The sequence below is a fragment of the Homo sapiens genome, chromosome 4, assembly GCF_000001405.40.
Source record: "Homo sapiens chromosome 4, GRCh38.p14 Primary Assembly".
Taxonomy (NCBI): domain Eukaryota; kingdom Metazoa; phylum Chordata; class Mammalia; order Primates; family Hominidae; genus Homo; species Homo sapiens.
Window position 1 is genome coordinate 94,160,418 of NC_000004.12, and position 16,408 is coordinate 94,176,825.

The 16,408-nt window shown below is 41.2% G+C and overlaps 1 long non-coding RNA gene across 1 annotated transcript in view, besides 2 other annotated features; it reads right to left on the reverse strand.

The window, feature by feature from the left end:
- Positions 1–16,408, reverse strand: part of SMARCAD1-DT (SMARCAD1 divergent transcript) — an 89,737-nt gene that overhangs the window by 42,598 nt on the left and 30,731 nt on the right. Inside the window, exons 2-5 of the long non-coding RNA NR_125922.1 lie at positions 5,431–5,508; positions 4,719–4,779; positions 3,481–3,512; positions 2,180–2,304 (exon numbers count right to left, since the gene is read on the reverse strand). This is a non-coding gene — a long non-coding RNA (SMARCAD1 divergent transcript). The remainder of the gene's footprint in view (positions 1–2,179; positions 2,305–3,480; positions 3,513–4,718; positions 4,780–5,430; positions 5,509–16,408) is intronic.
- Positions 4,985–5,692: an enhancer, noted in NCBI's record as "OCT4-NANOG-H3K27ac-H3K4me1 hESC enhancer chr4:95086553-95087260 (GRCh37/hg19 assembly coordinates)". NCBI's record gives its function as "activates a minimal SCP1, AML or CMV promoter by ChIP-STARR-seq in naive H9 embryonic stem cells {active_cell/tissue: H9 hESC(naive)}" and the evidence as "EXISTENCE:reporter gene assay evidence [ECO:0000049][PMID:30033119]".
- Positions 6,403–7,110: an enhancer, noted in NCBI's record as "OCT4-NANOG-H3K27ac-H3K4me1 hESC enhancer chr4:95087971-95088678 (GRCh37/hg19 assembly coordinates)". NCBI's record gives its function as "activates a minimal SCP1, AML or CMV promoter by ChIP-STARR-seq in naive and primed H9 embryonic stem cells {active_cell/tissue: H9 hESC(naive and primed)}" and the evidence as "EXISTENCE:reporter gene assay evidence [ECO:0000049][PMID:30033119]".

A 16,408-nucleotide genomic window follows, 5' to 3' on the forward strand; every position in this document is an offset into this window, starting at 1 on the left:
TAAGTATAAGTACCATGTGCATACTAGAGGCAAGGCACTGCGTTGTGCTGGATTTTGAGGGGTGAAAGAACAAGCATGGATATAATGTTACTTTATTTATATATTCGGGTTTTTGGGGTTTTTGTTTTTGTTTTAAGTACCATGTGCATACTAAAGGCAAGGCACTGCGTTGTGCTGGATTTTGAGGGGTGAGAGAACAAGCATGGATATCTATCCTTTGAAAGCTTCTGGGAAGTTGGGGGTAGGGACAGAGAAACATTACAATTTAAAACCTATTTATAATGATATAATTATAATCACTAAAGGATAAGTGCTATGAAGGAAAGGTTCAGGTTACAAAGAGAAAGTAAAACTAGGGAATCTAATTTAAAATGAGATGTCTCTGAAGGCCTCTTGGTAAGTGACATTTAAACTGAAGCCTGAAGTATAAAGAATAATTATTGTGAAGGGTGAGGAGAAGTCTTGACTAAACCAACAAAGTGAGGAGACACTAAAGCTTGGGAGGGCCTGAAAGTAGCCTAATGTGACTCTAGGACAGTGAGCAAAATGGAGAAAGGCATGCATGAAAGTGAAAAGATAGGCCAGGTGCTTGGTGACTCACATCTGTAATCCCAACACTTTGTGAGGCTGAGTGGGGGGTGAATCACTTAAGGTCAGGAGTTCGAGACCAGCCTGATCAACATGGTGAAACCCCGTAACTACTAAAAATACAAAAAAATTAGCCGGGCATGCTGGCGGGCACCTGTAATCCCAGCTACTCAGGAGGCTGAGGCAGGAGAATCACTTGAAACTGGGAGGTGGAAGCTACAGTGAGTTGAGATAGCACCATTGCAGTCCAGCCTGGGTGACGGAACGAGACTCTTGTCTCAAAAAAAAAAAAAAAAAAAAAAAAAAAGTGAAAAGATAGACCAGGCTTATAGGCCTCCTTGAGGATATCTAAATTTTATATTTTATTTTAGTACAATGGTAAGCCTGTGACTGGTTTCAAACTGGTAAATAACAAAATCTGATTTACATTTCAAAAAGATCTCTACTGCTATTGTGTGAAAATTGGATTAGGCCAATTAAATTCAGAATGTTTAATCCCCAGATTCTTTTTTTTTTTTTTTTCATTTTACTTTAAGTTCCAGGATACATGTGCAGAACATGTAGGTTTGTTACATAGGTATACATGTGCCATGGTGGTTTGCTGTACCTATTAACCCATCATCTAGGTTTTAAGCCCCACATGCATTAGGTTTTTGTCCTAATGCTCTCCCTTCCCTTGCCCCCGACCCCCGGACAGGTCCCATTGTGTGTTGTTCTCCTCCCTGTGTCCATGTGTTCTCATTGTTCAACTCCCACTTATGAGTGAGAACATATGGTGTTTGGTTTTCTGTTCCCGTGTTACTTTGCTGAGAATGATGGTTTCCAGCTTCATGCATGTCCCTGTAAAGGACATGAACTCATCCTTTTTTATGGCTGCAAAGTATTCCATGGTGTGTATGTGCCACATTTTCTTTATCCAGTCTAACATTGATGTGCATTTGGGTTGGTTCCAAGTCTTTGCTATTATGAACAGTGCTGCAATAAGCATACATGCGCATGTGTCTTTATAGTAGAATGATTTATAATCCTTTGGGTAAATACCCAGTAATGGGATCATTGGGTCAAATGGTATTTCTGATTCTACTTCCTTGAGGAATCACCACACTGTCTTCCACAATGGTTGAACTAATTTACACTCCCACCAACAGTGTAAAAGCATTCCTATTTCTCCACAGCCTCGTGAGAAATGAGAGAATCACTTGAGCTCAGGAATTCGAGACCAGCCTGGTCAACATAGTGAGACCCCATCTCTATTTTTAAAAAAAAAAAAACGGGCAGTCTGGATCGGGACGCTTTTCCGTCAACATCTTTCTGTTGAACCACTGAAGGGATAATATTAACTTTGGGTAGGTGCTGGGGTCTGGTAACATCTTTCTTTCTTCCAAATTTCTGGTGCCCTCTACTATCTCCCACTTGATGGAAAAACAAGTAATCTCTGGATCACTTCCCTCGGGATGGGATGACCTGTGATGGCTGTCATGCTAACAAACATTTTGTTTGTTTGTTATTATGGATCATGGTTTTGTTACTCGTGGACCCCAGATGGTTTTATGAGCATGGAGCAGTATCAACAAGCTAGCAGGATGCATACCTCACCACAGCATCCTCAGGGCACTGTCCTTCAGTAGGAGTTCTGTCACCAAAACCAGGGGGCTGCTCCTCAATGATGCATCTCATCCTAGAGTGGGAGCTTATTTCTCATTCAATAAACAGTTTCTGCATTAACGAGAACAGCAGCATAAAGAGCCACATCAGAAACTAGTATGTGTTGAAAGCCAGTGATTACTAATACTTCAAAATAATTCTGGGAGTAAAAGTAAAATGTGTTCAACCTTTCATGTCTTCCCTGAAGTCTTACAGGAAGCTTTTAGTGTTCTGTTTTTTATTTTCTCACATTTAGAGATAAGAATGGGAGAAGAGCAAACATCATCATGTTTATATATTGTTAGAAGAAAGCAGAATTAGAATAATTGAAGATATAAAATATCTACTTTGCATGGGAAAATGTCATGTCTAATATCTGCTTTAAAATAATTCAACAAGAAGGAAAAAAATAAAGTTGATGATTATTGAAATGGGATGTTGGGTTTATGGGAGCTCATTAGACTATTTCCTATTTTAGCTGTATTTAAAATTTGTCGTAACAATAAAAAGCGAAAAAGAATTCATATGGGGGCCGGGCGCGGTGGCTCACACCTGTAATCCCAGCACTTTGGGAGGCTGAGGCTGGTGGATCACCTGAGGTCAGGAGTTTGAGACCAGCCTCAACATGGGGAAACCCCATCTCTACTAAAAATACAAAATTAGCCGGGCGTAGTGGTGCATGCCTGTAATCTCAGCTACTCGGGAGGCTGAGGCAGGAGAACTGCTTGAACCTAGGAGGCGGAGGTTGTGGTGAGCCGAGATCGAGCCATTGCCCTCCAGCCTGGGCAACAAGAGCGAAACTCCATCTCAAAAAAAAAAAAAAAAAAAAAGAATTCATATGGATTGAAGAAGACATTCTCTGACATATTACTGACAGCACAAATTAGTACAACCTTTTTTTTTTTTTGAGACAGTGTCTTACTTTGTCACCCAGGCTGGAGTGCAGTGGGGCAATCTCGGCTCACTGCAAACTCGACCTCCTGGGTTCAAGCAATGCTCCCGCCTCAGCCTCTCAAGTAGCTGGGAAAACAGTCATGTAACACCACAACCTGCTAATTTTTGTATACTTTTTAGAGACAGGGTTTCACCATGTTGCCCAGGCTGGTCTCAAACTCATGAACGCAAGCAATCTGCATGCCTCAGCCTCCTGAAGTGCTAGGATTATAGGCGTGAGCCACTATGCCCGGCCTTGCACAATCTTTTAAAAAGTAATGTGGAAGTATCTATTAGAATTTAAAATGTGCATACCTTTTGATTTATCATCCCAGTTGAAATTTAACCTACAGAAATAATAACATTAATATTTATGTGCAAGGACATTCACTTTACTATCATAATAGCAAAATAATAGACACACAAATGTTTATTAAATAGACCAATAGTTAATAAGACAAAAAAATACTATATCCATCTTAGTACATACAAGTGTCAGAGGCGTTTGAACTAGAGCAACTCCATCTTGAATAGGGGCTTGGTAAAATGAGGCTGAGACCTCCTGGGCTGCATTCCCAGATGGTTAAGGCATTCTAAGTCACAGGATGAGATAGGAGGTCGGCAAAAGATACGGGTCAAAAAGACACTGCTGATTAAACAGATTGCAGTAAATAAGCTGGCTAAAACCCACCAAAACCAAGGTTGCGATGAGAGTGACTCTGTTCATCCTCACTGCTACACTCCCACCAAAGTCAAGTGACACTTTACAAATGCCATGGCAACATCAAGAAGTTACCCTATATGGTCTAAAAAGGGGAAGCTTGAATAACCCACCCCTCGTTTACCATATGATAAAGAAATAACCATAAAAATAGACAACCAGCAGCCTTCAGGGCTTCTCTGCCGATGGAGTAGCCATTCTTTATTCCTTTAGGGATATAGGACTTTCCCAATGTCCTTGCTTTCACTTTAGGGACTCTTCCTGAATTCTTTCCTGCATGAGATCCAAGAACCCTCTCTTGGAGTCTGGATTGGGACCCCTAGCCAGTAACACAAGATGATTAGTACATACAAGATGAATATGTATGTACTACATGGCTCATGTTAGATCACTGAATGATGTTTTTAATTCCAAACCAGTATTATTGGCATTATGCATCTGTCCATTATATACTGACGTGTATAACTTTTGGGGAAAAGTTGAGAAGGATACATATTACATGGAGAATGGTTAATGGAGTATGGGTTTGCTTTCATACTTTACTGTAAATACTTTGTATTTTTTTAAGTAGTAAGATTACAGGTGGTTTTGTTTGTTTACCCAAGTGGCAAAGCTGAGCGATAAACCCAGGCAGCCTGGCTCCAGATGCCTGGCTTTTAACAACTCACTAAATTGCCTTTAACTGGAGCAGTATATAAAGTGTGAACTTAATATTCTTAGAATTTATTTTTATTTAGTTCTTCATATCATATCTTCATCTCTCCTATCATACTCAGAGTGACTATATGTTTCTGATTCCAAACATCCCTTACCATCCTTGCATCAAGAGTACCTTCTGTTTCATGAAGTATTGACCCATAATATTGCAGGCCCTGGGTACGTCCCTTAGAGATCTGTTTACAAGAAAGAAAGAAAGAACAAAGAACTACTTAACAGAACTTTAACATAAATCCCTGTTAATTGTGGTGCCCTTGAAATTATAACTTAGTTTGATAGTGTAGTTAAGCCAATTATTTTGAAAATGCTACCGAAATGTTCGGTAAGCAACAACCCCTCTGGCCCCCTTTGCCTGGTTTCTTTGTCATTGTTTGGAGCTTCTGCTTTGAAGTACAATAGCCTCTTTGTTGCGGAGCCATAGGTAAAAAGTACTCATGCTCAAAGGTGACAGATTCCTTTCATCATTAATCCCAGGATGACCCACCCCACCCTCCAGAAGTTCTTAGTCTATAAAGGTTCTCATGTATATGCCTGTTAAAACCAAGTTCTTTTAGCCTTGTTCTTGCCTTTCTTCCTACCTCCTTTGCAATTGCTTTTTCCTTAAGGCATTTTATTTAAGTGGAGACACTAAGTTATGTAAGAGAGGCAAGGAACATTTTCTTGCCTAGCCAACTAAAGGAATCTTCTTGAAGTAAATTGAGATAAGAGTAGTGAAAAAAGGCAAATTTTCTGCCAAAAAAATCAAAAAATTATTGTTAATATATTACCCAGAATTAATTAGATGGGCAGTTTAGCAACAGCATTACATTACTAATTTTTTTCCTTACCTCCAGCAGCTTTTAGAAGACTGATTTACCAAGCGTATTTTCTGTCCAAGCTTTCTTTCATGGAAAAATTTGCTTTACCTAGACAAAGCACATTAAAGCAAATTAAATCACATGTAAGATTAAGGAGGTTCTTGTTTGCTTTCAAAGCATATTCTTTTTTTTTTTTTTTGAGACAGAGTCTCGCTCTGTCGCCCAGGCTGGAGTGCAGTGGCGCGATCTTGGCTCACTGCAAGCTCCGCCTCCCGGGTTCACGCCATTCTCCCGCCTCAGCCTCCCCAGTAGCTGTGACTACAGGCCCCCGCCACCACGCCCGGCTAATTTTTCTGTATTTTTAGTACAGATGGGGTTTCACCGTGTTAGCCAGGATGGTCTCAATCCCCCGACCTCGTGATCCGCCTGCCTCTGCCTTCCAAAGTGCTGGGATTACAGTCATGAGCCGCACCTGGCCACACCCGGCCTCAGAGCATATTCTTAAATTATCCTGGTCTTTTCTATTCAGAAGCTTTGTGCACCAGGTATGTTTACTAACATGAATATGAAAATATTTCTGCTCGTAAACTTCAGTGTAAAACTCCAGAGCAAATATGATGAACTTTTTACGACTGATATTGGTCTTATTTGTAATTTGTAGAATTTAACTCTGCAGCAATAGATAAGCCCATGCACATCAGTATGCAAATGAAAATGGTGGCTATCTTAAAATCTTCCCTAAAAGAAATATGCCCTGAGCTAGCACATACAGTGTAGATACCATGATGCCCAATAATACTTACCAGGTTCTTTCATCCACTAAAATTATTTAGAATATTTCCACCAGGGCAAAATGAATAAACAAACTTTTATCTGATCTTCATATTAAATAGTTGAGAAAAACTGCCTACCATGGCAGCCACTCCCAATAAGAACTGTGATGATAATTTGACCTCAAAAGAGTACCCCATCAACCCCACTTGTTCCCCACTTGTTCCCCACCTTTTCCCTGAAATGGTCACTTTCATGCGCGTCCGTGTGAAGAGACCACCAAACAGGCTTTGTGTGAGCAATAAAGTTTTTAATCACCTGGGTGCAGGCGGGCTGAGTCCGAAAAGAGAGTCAGCGAAGGGAGATAGGGGTGGGGCCATTTTATAAGATTTGGGTAGGTAAAGGAAAATTACAGTCAAAGGGGGTTTGTTCTCTGGCGGGCAGGAGTGGGGGTCGCAAGGTGCTCAGTGGGGGAGATTTTTGAGCCAGGATGAGCCAGGAAAACGACTTTCACAAGGTAATGTCATCAGTTAAGGCAAGGACCGGCCATTTACACTTCTTTTGTGGTGGAATGTCATCAGTTAAGGTGGGGCAGGGCATTTTCACTTCTTTTGTGATTCTTCAGTTACTTCAGGCCATCTGGGCGTCTATGTGCAAGTCACAGGGGATGCGATGGCTTGGCTTGGGCTCAGAGGCCTGACAGTCACCAAGGAAAACTTTCCACCTCTAACATTGAACAATTCTTCCTGTTTTGAAATGATCCCAACTGCTTGCCCCTTTATGGCCTACCAGCTATTGCCAGATGAACTCAATGACCACTCAATAAAATTCTCTCTTGCTTCTAAAATTCCTACCTTAATAAATGCTTGCCAATCAGAGGCTTAGTATTTTCTTCACACACTATAAACTCATACTTGTCCAATACCATTGAAGACCTGCTGAAATAAAACATTGCCAAGGGCTTTCTTGCTACAAGTTTATGAATAAATAGACTGTTAATTTTGCCACATGCTTAGTTTTGTCTTTAACCATAATTGTATATGATATGTTAAACTATCTCCTAAATATCTCTGAATCCATCTTTTTCTCCCCATCCCCACTAATATTCTTTTTTTTTTTTTTTTGAGACAGAGTTTCACTCTTGTTGCCCAGACTGGAGTGCAATCGCACTATCTCAGCTCACTGCAACCTCTGCCTCTTGGGTTCAAGCGATTCTCCTGCCTCAGCCTCCCAAGTAGCTGGGATTACAGGCATGCGCCACCATGCCGGACTAATTTTGTATTTTTTAGTAGAGAGGGCGTTTCACCATGTTGGTCAGGCTGGTCTCGCACCCCTGACCTCAAGTGACCCACCTGCCTCGGCCTCCCAAAGTGCTGGGATTACAGGCGTGAGCCACCACGCCCAGCCAGTACTAATATTCTTATTATGCATCATCTAGAATGAGAATTAGTCCAGGAAGTGATCTCTTTGCCTCCAATGTCCTCGGATTCATCCTTGTCTTGCTGACAAAGTATTATTGGTAGAAGGCAAATGCATTCACACCCTTCTTTTATTTTAATGGCATCCCCAAAGCTAACTAACGTAATAATACCCAAATGCTTTCCAAAAGACTTGCAATAATAGTAATAGTAGTAGAATATTCTAATGAAAATAAATTAATACGTGTTAATTTATAATAAGAGTTTCCATTAACCTTGACAAATACTCTGAAGGGTAGAAAGGCTTTGTTATCCTAGCTGAGAAATCTAAGATTCAAGGAAGCTAAATGAAATTGCTCAAGGTAACTTAGCTAGTAAGTAGCGGATCCAGAATCTAAAACTGTGTTTATCAGATTCCAAAGCCCATGCTTTCCTGAATGCCCTCCCCAACAGCCATACTGAATTCTTTCCATTCTTTCAGTATGCTGTGCTGGCTCATACATCCTTCCCTCTGTACATGCTTCTGTCACTCTCATCTTCTGTGAAACTTTCCCACACCTTCACTCTCCCCAGGCAGAGATGACTGTTTCCTCTCCCTACTGCTGCTTTAGCTGAAACTTGCCTCTTTCATAGTCTTCATCACACTTTAATATTATATAAATAATTCCTTACATTGGCATTTCACAAAATTGTAAGCTCTTTGAGAACAAGGCGTTCTACTCCATTTTCCAGTTTTAAAAAAAGTGTTAGGCCAGGCGCAGTGGCTCACGCCTGTAATCCCAGCACTTTGGGAGGCCGAGGCGGGCCGATCACAAGGTCAGGAGATTGAGACCACGGTGAAACCCCGTCTCTACTAAAAAAAATACAAAAAATTAGCCGGGGGTGGTGGCGGGCACCTGTAGTCCCAGCTACTCTGGAGGCTGAGGCAGGAAAATGGCGTGAACCCGGAGGGTGGAGCTTGCAGTGAGCCGAGATGGCGCCACTGCACTCCAGCCTGGGCGACAGAGCGAGACTCCGTCTCAAAAAAAAAAATTAAAAAAAAAAGTGTTACTCTGACATACCAAATGACATAGAATTTTCAGAGAATGAAAAAAAACCTTTTTTTATTGCTCATTAAGGCTCTTCAACAAAGAAAGGAAACGGAGATGATAATTAGTTATTTCCTCAGTGAGTTAGTTTGAAGACTAAATCAGTGGTTCTAAAACCTGACTGTAAACTGAAATTCCCTTAGGAGAGTGGGATAATGTGAATCTCCAGATCTTATGCCATATCTTGTGATTCATAAATTGTATATGATTCATGATTCTATGTGCATGTGGATATCCAGGGGGATCTACTAAGCAACTAGATTTGGCTACCACAGAATTTAATGTTATAAGCTATTTAAACACTCATTAAACACAATGCCCAGCCCATGGTAAATGCTCAATAAATGTTAAATGATAACACCTTACAAATGTCATACTACTTCACAATTTACAACGTATTCACACAATAATTATTCCACTTGATCTTCAGAACAATACCAGTGATATGGTTTGGATCTGTGTCTTCACCCAAATCTCATGTGGAATTGTAGTCCCCAAAGTTGGAGATGGAGCCCAGTGGGAGGTGATTGGATCATGGGGGCAAATTTTTCCCCTTGGTACTATTGAGAGGTGACAGCCTGCTGGCAGCCCTTGCAGCCCTCGCTCACTCCCGGCGCCTCCTCTGCCTGGGCACCCACTCTGGCGGTGGTTGAGGAGCCCTTCAGCCCGCCGCTGCACTGTGGGAGCCCCTTCCTGGGATGGCGGAGGCCGGAGCCAGCTCCCTCAGCTTGCGTGCAGGGAGGTGTGGAGGGAGAGGCGCGAGCGGGAACCAGGGCTGCGCGAGGCGCTCGCGGGCCAGCTGGAGTTCTGGGTGGGCGTGGGCTTGGTGGGCCCCGCACTCGGAGCCGCCGGCCGGCCCCGCCAGCCCCGGGCAGTGAGGGGCTTAGCACCCGGGCCAGCAGCTGTGGAGGGTGCACCGGGTCCCCCAGCAGTGCCGGCCCACCTGCGCTGCGCTTGATTTCTCACGGCCCTTAGCTGCCTCCCCATGGGGCAGAGCTCGGGACCTTCAGCCCGCCATGCCTGAGCCTCCCCACCCCCGCCCTGGGCTCCTGCGCAGCCCCAGCCTCCCAGACGAGCGCCGCCCCCTGCTCAATGGCGCCCGGTCCCATCGACCGCCCAAGGGCTGAGGACTGCTGGCACACCGCTGCTACTGGCAGGCAGCTCCACCTGCGGCCCCAGTAGGGGATCCACTAGGTGAAGCCAGCTGGGCTCCTGAGTCTAGTGGGGACTTGGAGAAACTTCATGTCTAGCTAACTTTGTCTAGCAATCAGCACTCTGTGTCTGGCTCAAGGTTTGTAAATGCACCAATCAGCACTCTGTGTCTAGCTCAGGATTTGTAAATGCGCCAATCAGCACCCTATGTCTAGCCCAGGGCTTGTGAATGCACCAATCAGTGCTCTGTGTCTAGCTAATCTAGGGGAGACTTGGAGAACTTTTGTGTCTAGCTCAGGGATTGTAAATGCACCAATCAGCACCCTGTCAAAATGGACCAATCAGCTCTCTGTAAAACAGACCAATCAGCTCTCTGTAAAATGGACCAATCAGCAGGATGTGGGTGGGGCCAGATAAGGGAATAAAAGCAGGCTGCCCAAGCCAGCAGTGGCAAACCCCCTGGGTCCTCTCCTGCACCGTGGAAGCTTTGTTGTTTTGCTCTTTGCAATAAATATTGCTGCTGCTGACTGTTTGGGTCCATGCTGCCTTTATGAGCTGTAACACTCACCGCGAAGGTCTGCAGCTTCACTCCTGACGCCAGGGAGACCATGAACCCACCAGAAGGAAGAAACTCCAAACACATCTGAACATCAGAAGGAACAAACTCCGGACATGCTGCCTTTAAGAACTGTAGCACTGACTGCAAGGGTCCGCGGCTTCATTCTTGAAGTCAGTGAGACCAAGAACCCAACAATTCCGGATACACTATGTAGGGATAGTGAGCAAGTTCTCATGAGATCTAGTTGTTTAAAAGTGTGTGGCTTTTTTTTAACACTTTTTGGTTAAAGTGTTAAACCACCCCACCTTCCTCCTACTCCAGCCATGTGAAGATGCCTGTTTCCCCTTCACCTTCCACCGTGGTTATAAGATTCCTGAGGCCTCCCCAGAAGCAGAAGCTGCTATGCCTCCTATACAGCCTGCAGAACTGTGAGCAAATTAAACCTCTTTTCTTTGTAAATTACACAGTCTCACATATTATTTTATAGCAATTTTTAAATTCTTTTATTTTATAGCAATTTGAGAACAGACTAACACAAAGATCAACATTAATCTCTCTCATCCCAAACTATTCAGTAGAATGTAATCACTTAAATGCTGTCTCCTTCTATTGGAATGAAATAAAGAGATGAAGACCCCTTAAAAATAAAACTTTCTTTAGCCTGAAAAAACTCATCTGCTCTTCCAATGGTAGATTGAATATGATGACTCCCAGCTTTGGGTAATCAGATCTCTAGCTTGTTTAAATGGCATTTAGATCCACTGGTCATTAGGAGGAGAAAATAAAGAGTACTGGTTGGGCAATCAACACTGTTGTAAGAGTTATCTTTAGGCAAGATACAAATCTATATTTAGCCAAAAGAGTACCAAACCTTTATTTTCCAAGAAGGAAGAACACCAAAAGAATGAGAAAAGATGCTGTTGTAAACGTGATGCCAAATTGTGCAATTCCTACTCGCTCATGCAACTTCAGAAAGCTGAAGTTGAGCAAATTCTTCCAAATTTTTGCTTCCGGAAGTCCCAGCAGGGCACCCTAGTGGTAATACTAAGAATTACATCTAATATATTGAGTAATCTCTGTCAATAAATGAACATAGAAAGTCATAAAAAAGATATACAATAGGTTTCATGTCAAATTAGGTAGGTCAGGAGTTCACGGCCAGCCTGGCTAACATGGTGAAACCCCATCTCTACTAAAAATACAAAAAATTAGCTGGGAGTGGTGGCGGGCACCTGTAATCCCAGCTACTTGGGAGGCTGAGGAAGGAGAATTGCTTGAACCTGGAAGGTGGAGGTTGCAGTGAGCCGAAATTGCACCATTGCACTCTAGCCTGGGCAATAACAGCGAAAATCTGTCTCAAAAAAAAAAAAAAAAAGTCACACTACAGTAAAAATGAATTTTAATCAGGGGCTTGAGGGAAAAATCCTATAAGTAGTGTCAATATCCTTTTTGAAACTGTATTTGTATGAAGTTCCTAAGTTCTAACCAGTTACATCAGAGATGAGAATGAGTGGGCAGGCAATATTGCTTCTGTGCTAATCCAATAAATTTAATGATTTAATTTGTGATTTATTATGACATTTTTAAATAAATACATCTAAATAAATTTAAATGCTGTTGGACTCACGAATTTAATTTGAAACGTATAAATAAGTTTGACTGATATTAGACTTGTAACTTTAATTCAAAAATTGTGAAATTATTTGTTCATGAACATTATTTCAAATTTTAAAATAATTCAATATTAAACCCTCAAGTTTAAATTTATCAGATATGTAAGTAATAGTCAAATGCTTGAATAGACTTGTTGGATTTGCAAGCCTTCCTTGATTTGTTGTATCCTTCCCTCAGACATTGGAAAACTCCAGTTGAGCTTTCTCTTCACACATGCCCTCTTCGCCTTTGACCTTCTCTGTCAACGTTTTGACTTAGCACAAAAGCTCTCACCAGAAGCCTAGCAGATGACAGCACCATGCTTCTTGTACAACCTGTAGAACCATGAGCTAAATAAACCTCTTTTCCTTGTAAATTACCCAGCCTCAGGTATTCCTCTTTTAGCAACACAAAATGGAAAAAAAAATCTTCAATTGAGTATCTTCTAAATAGATGGTAAGAATATGTAAGAGATAGAAAAAAGAGAGACAATACTGTGTATTGGTTTTGTTAATGTGTCTACTAATTTCCTCTGTTTGGAATGACTGGCATTTCTTAATGTTTCTACTTCTATTAACATTGAGTGGAGGCTGGGCACAGTGGCTCACGCCTGTAATCCCAGCACTTTCGGAGGCCAAGGCAGGTGGATCATGAGGTCAGGAGATTGAGACCAGCCTGGACAACATGGTGAAACTCCATCGCTACTAAAAATACAAAAAAAAAAAAAAAAAATTAGCTGGGTGTGGTGACATGCACCTGTAGTCCCAGCTACTTGGGAGGCTGAGGCAGGAGAATTGCTTGAACCCGGGAGGCAGAGGTTGCAGTGAGCCGAGATTGCACCACTGCACTCCAGCCTGGGCCACAGAGCAAGACTCTGTCTCAAAAAAAAAAAAAAAAAAAAAAAAATTGAGTGGAATACCTAAAATGTTTCTGATTTTTGTCAGATGATGTACAAATTTAATCAAAATTTACAATTAGGTGGACACAAATTCCATTCACAAAATTATTTTAATTTTATTCCTGATCACCTTATATTCCTTAAAAAGAAAAAAAAAAGAAGGAAGCAGGGAGGAAGGAGGGAGGGGAAGGATAAAAGAAGGAAAGAAGGAAGGGAGAGAGGGAGGAAAGGTTGGGAGGGAGGGAGGGAAAAAGGCAAAATTCCTACGTTTCAGAGTGCTATGATCTGAATGTGTCCCCCCAGAGTTTTGTATTGGAACTTAATTAACACTGTGATAGTGTTAAGAGGTGAGGTCTTTAGGAGGTGAATAAGTCAAGAGGGCAGAGCTCTCATAAATGATCAGTGACTTATAAAAGAGCTGTGAGGGAGCTATTCATCCCTTCCACCCTTTTTTTTTTCTTAAACCCCTTCTCCATGTGAGAATGGAGCAACAAGTTGCCATCATGGAAGCAGAGAGCAGCCCTCACTAGGCACCAAACCTGCCAGCACCTTGATCTCATGCTCCCCAGCTTCCAGAACGCTAAGAAATAAATTTCTATTGTATATAAATTACCGTCTGGGGTATTTTGTTTGAGCAGCGCAAATAATCTAAGACACAGACATATTCAAAATGTAATCCTTTTACTCTTTTCTCTTTTGGAAATATTCAGTCATTCACCAAATATTTTTCAGGTGCCCAAGTGCCACATCCTGTGTTAGATGCTAAAGATGCACTCCTGAGTAATACAGGCATGGCCCATACTGTGTAGAATTTAAACAGAACTTAATAAGGTACAATAGAATAGACTAAAAAACTACAAAAGACAAGTAGATTTTAATTTTCTAATTAACTTGAAATATCTCTAAAGTATATTTTAATTCCTCACTTTATCAATATTTACTATACTAATAGATGTATTGAATTTAAAGGGTAGATGTGGGAAAAAAAGGTTCTGTTACACCAAATGCCCCGTAGGTGGATTTTTAAGATAAATATTTTCACATTTCAGTCTTTCAAACTAGTTATTGTTATTAAGCAAAGGACAAATAGACTAATTATGCTGTTTGGGGCAATGGTTTTAAAAATGGTCACAATTGGCTGGGCACGGTGGCTCATGCCTGTAATCCCAGCACTTTTGGAGGCTGAGGCCGGTGGATCACCTGAGGTCAGGAGTTCAAGACCAGCCTGGCCAACATGGTGAAACCTTGTCTCTACTAAAAAATACAAAATTAGCTGGGTGTGGTGGCATGTACCTATAGTCCCAGCTACTTGGGAAGCTGAGAGGCAGGAGAATCGCTTGAACCCAGGAGGCGGAGGTTGCAGTGAGCCAAGATCACACCATTGCCCTCCAGCCTGGGTGACAGAGCTAGACTCTGTCTCAAAAAAAAAAAAAAGTCACAATTAGTATAGTATATTAATTGTTTTATAAGCTTAGACAATACCATACAACAAAAATCTTTACTTCTAATCCATGGAAATTAAGTCTGAAATTATTTTTAGCCTATTAATACAATTTTGAAATGCCTTCTAAAGGAATTATATAAGACAGGAATCATTGACATTCAAGTTAATTAAGAAAATCTCTTTATAATTTAAAAAAATCTCCTATAGTCTATAAGATTTTATAGGAAATAATTAAATGCAAATAAGAAAGCCATCTCAATATGAATTTTGCTGGCTCTTGAGAAAATATTTTAATTTTAAAAACCACTTGATATACTTGTTCTTTTCTAAGTGTTTCATCCATTTCCATGAACTGAAAAGTATAATTTAGATTTAGGTCTTCCCTGCAAGAATTGGTCAGAAGCATTCCTACACAATACACAAAATTCAGAAGGTAAGCACAAAAGGCTAAGTCTACTCTCTTACTATAAGAACAAACAAGCTAACATTGCACTTTCTCAGTCTTTGAGTCCTATCTGATTTCTTCATTCTTGTCTGATTACTTCTCTGGCCTCAATCTGTTAACACTGCCCCTTTTCCTACTCTTTAAACACCACTTAGCACACTGAAGTTGTACTGACCCATTTACATCTTTTGACATTATGGTTTAGTGTTTCTCATACTGTGCTATACATTTCCTTTTACTTTGTTCAAGCAATAGAAATGATTTTGTCATAAATTTTGACCCCAGCCCTTGTTCAAAAATGGGCACATTAAAAATTTGTGCTTACCTTTTAGATGTCTCTCAAATAATCTTATTGTTTCATTCAAATCCAAAGATCTAGTTTAGTTTCTGTGGAGCTGAAATGCTTACTGGTTGTCTCCTCACTGGCTCTACAACCTGCAGGCTGCCTCCCACTTATCAAATCATTCCTTAATCTTGTTTTCGAAGACAATGGCAGCAGTGACTATCAGCTGGTGATAACATTTGGTGCCTTCGAGATTTCAGCATTTCATGTCCCTTGTCTGGGACACATGCATACCACCAGGCTCACCCTGTTTCTGGGTTTTCTACAGCTTGGTAAAACTATCACGGCTTCTCAATTTCTTACTTAATGCTTAGAGGACATCTACGGGAGTTTGGATTGGGTTGTCTGTCTTGCTGGAATCAGACATTAAATAGTGCCAGTGCTTAGAACCACAGACTCAGCACCTGCATCTGGCTCTGATTCACATCTGCTGTCTACTATCTAGTTCAAAATCATACAAGTTTTTTTTGTTCATGGTCACGTGATCAGAAATCCACATAAAAGCAGGCAGCATGAATTATTTTATTGATTTATTACAATGATGAGGCAAGAAGGTCTGTGTGGCAACTCTTGGGGTGATCAAGTGCATGTAGAGGTTCTAGCTATACTTGTTTACCTCTGGTCGTGGTTCTTCAAAACACTCCAAAGTGGACTTTTAGTGGAATTTAATTTGAACATCTCAAAATTGATTAATTCAACTTCAATTATAGTGTCTAATATAATACCTTATAGCAGGCAATTATCCAACATAGCACAGAATTAGTTGGGACAAACTGGCACCCAGTTTGTGCTTGGGTTTTTTGTTGTTATTGTTTGTTTGTTAATCTCAGGGAATATATGCAGCATTTTAGATGCTCAGGTTCTACTTTAATTTTAGAAACACAATATTGTGTTCTTACTGCCACTCCTCCTTGTTTGGTACAGATCCTATAACACAAAAAGTGTTTAAAAATGTGAATTTAATACAGGTGAATTAACATTTTCTAAGCTAGTGGCCTGTCTTTCTGGTGAAGCAAAGCTATAATTTTCCTATTCTTTAAAGCCGCAGTGGGGTGCAGTGGCTCACACCTGTATCCCAGCACCTTGGGAAGCTGAGGCGGGCAGATCACTTGAGCTCAGGAATTCAAGACCAGCCTGGCCAACATGGAGAAACTCTGTCTCTACAAAAAACACAAAAAATTAGCCAGGCATAGTGGTGCGTGCCTGTAGTCCTAACTACTCCAGAGGCTGAGGCAAG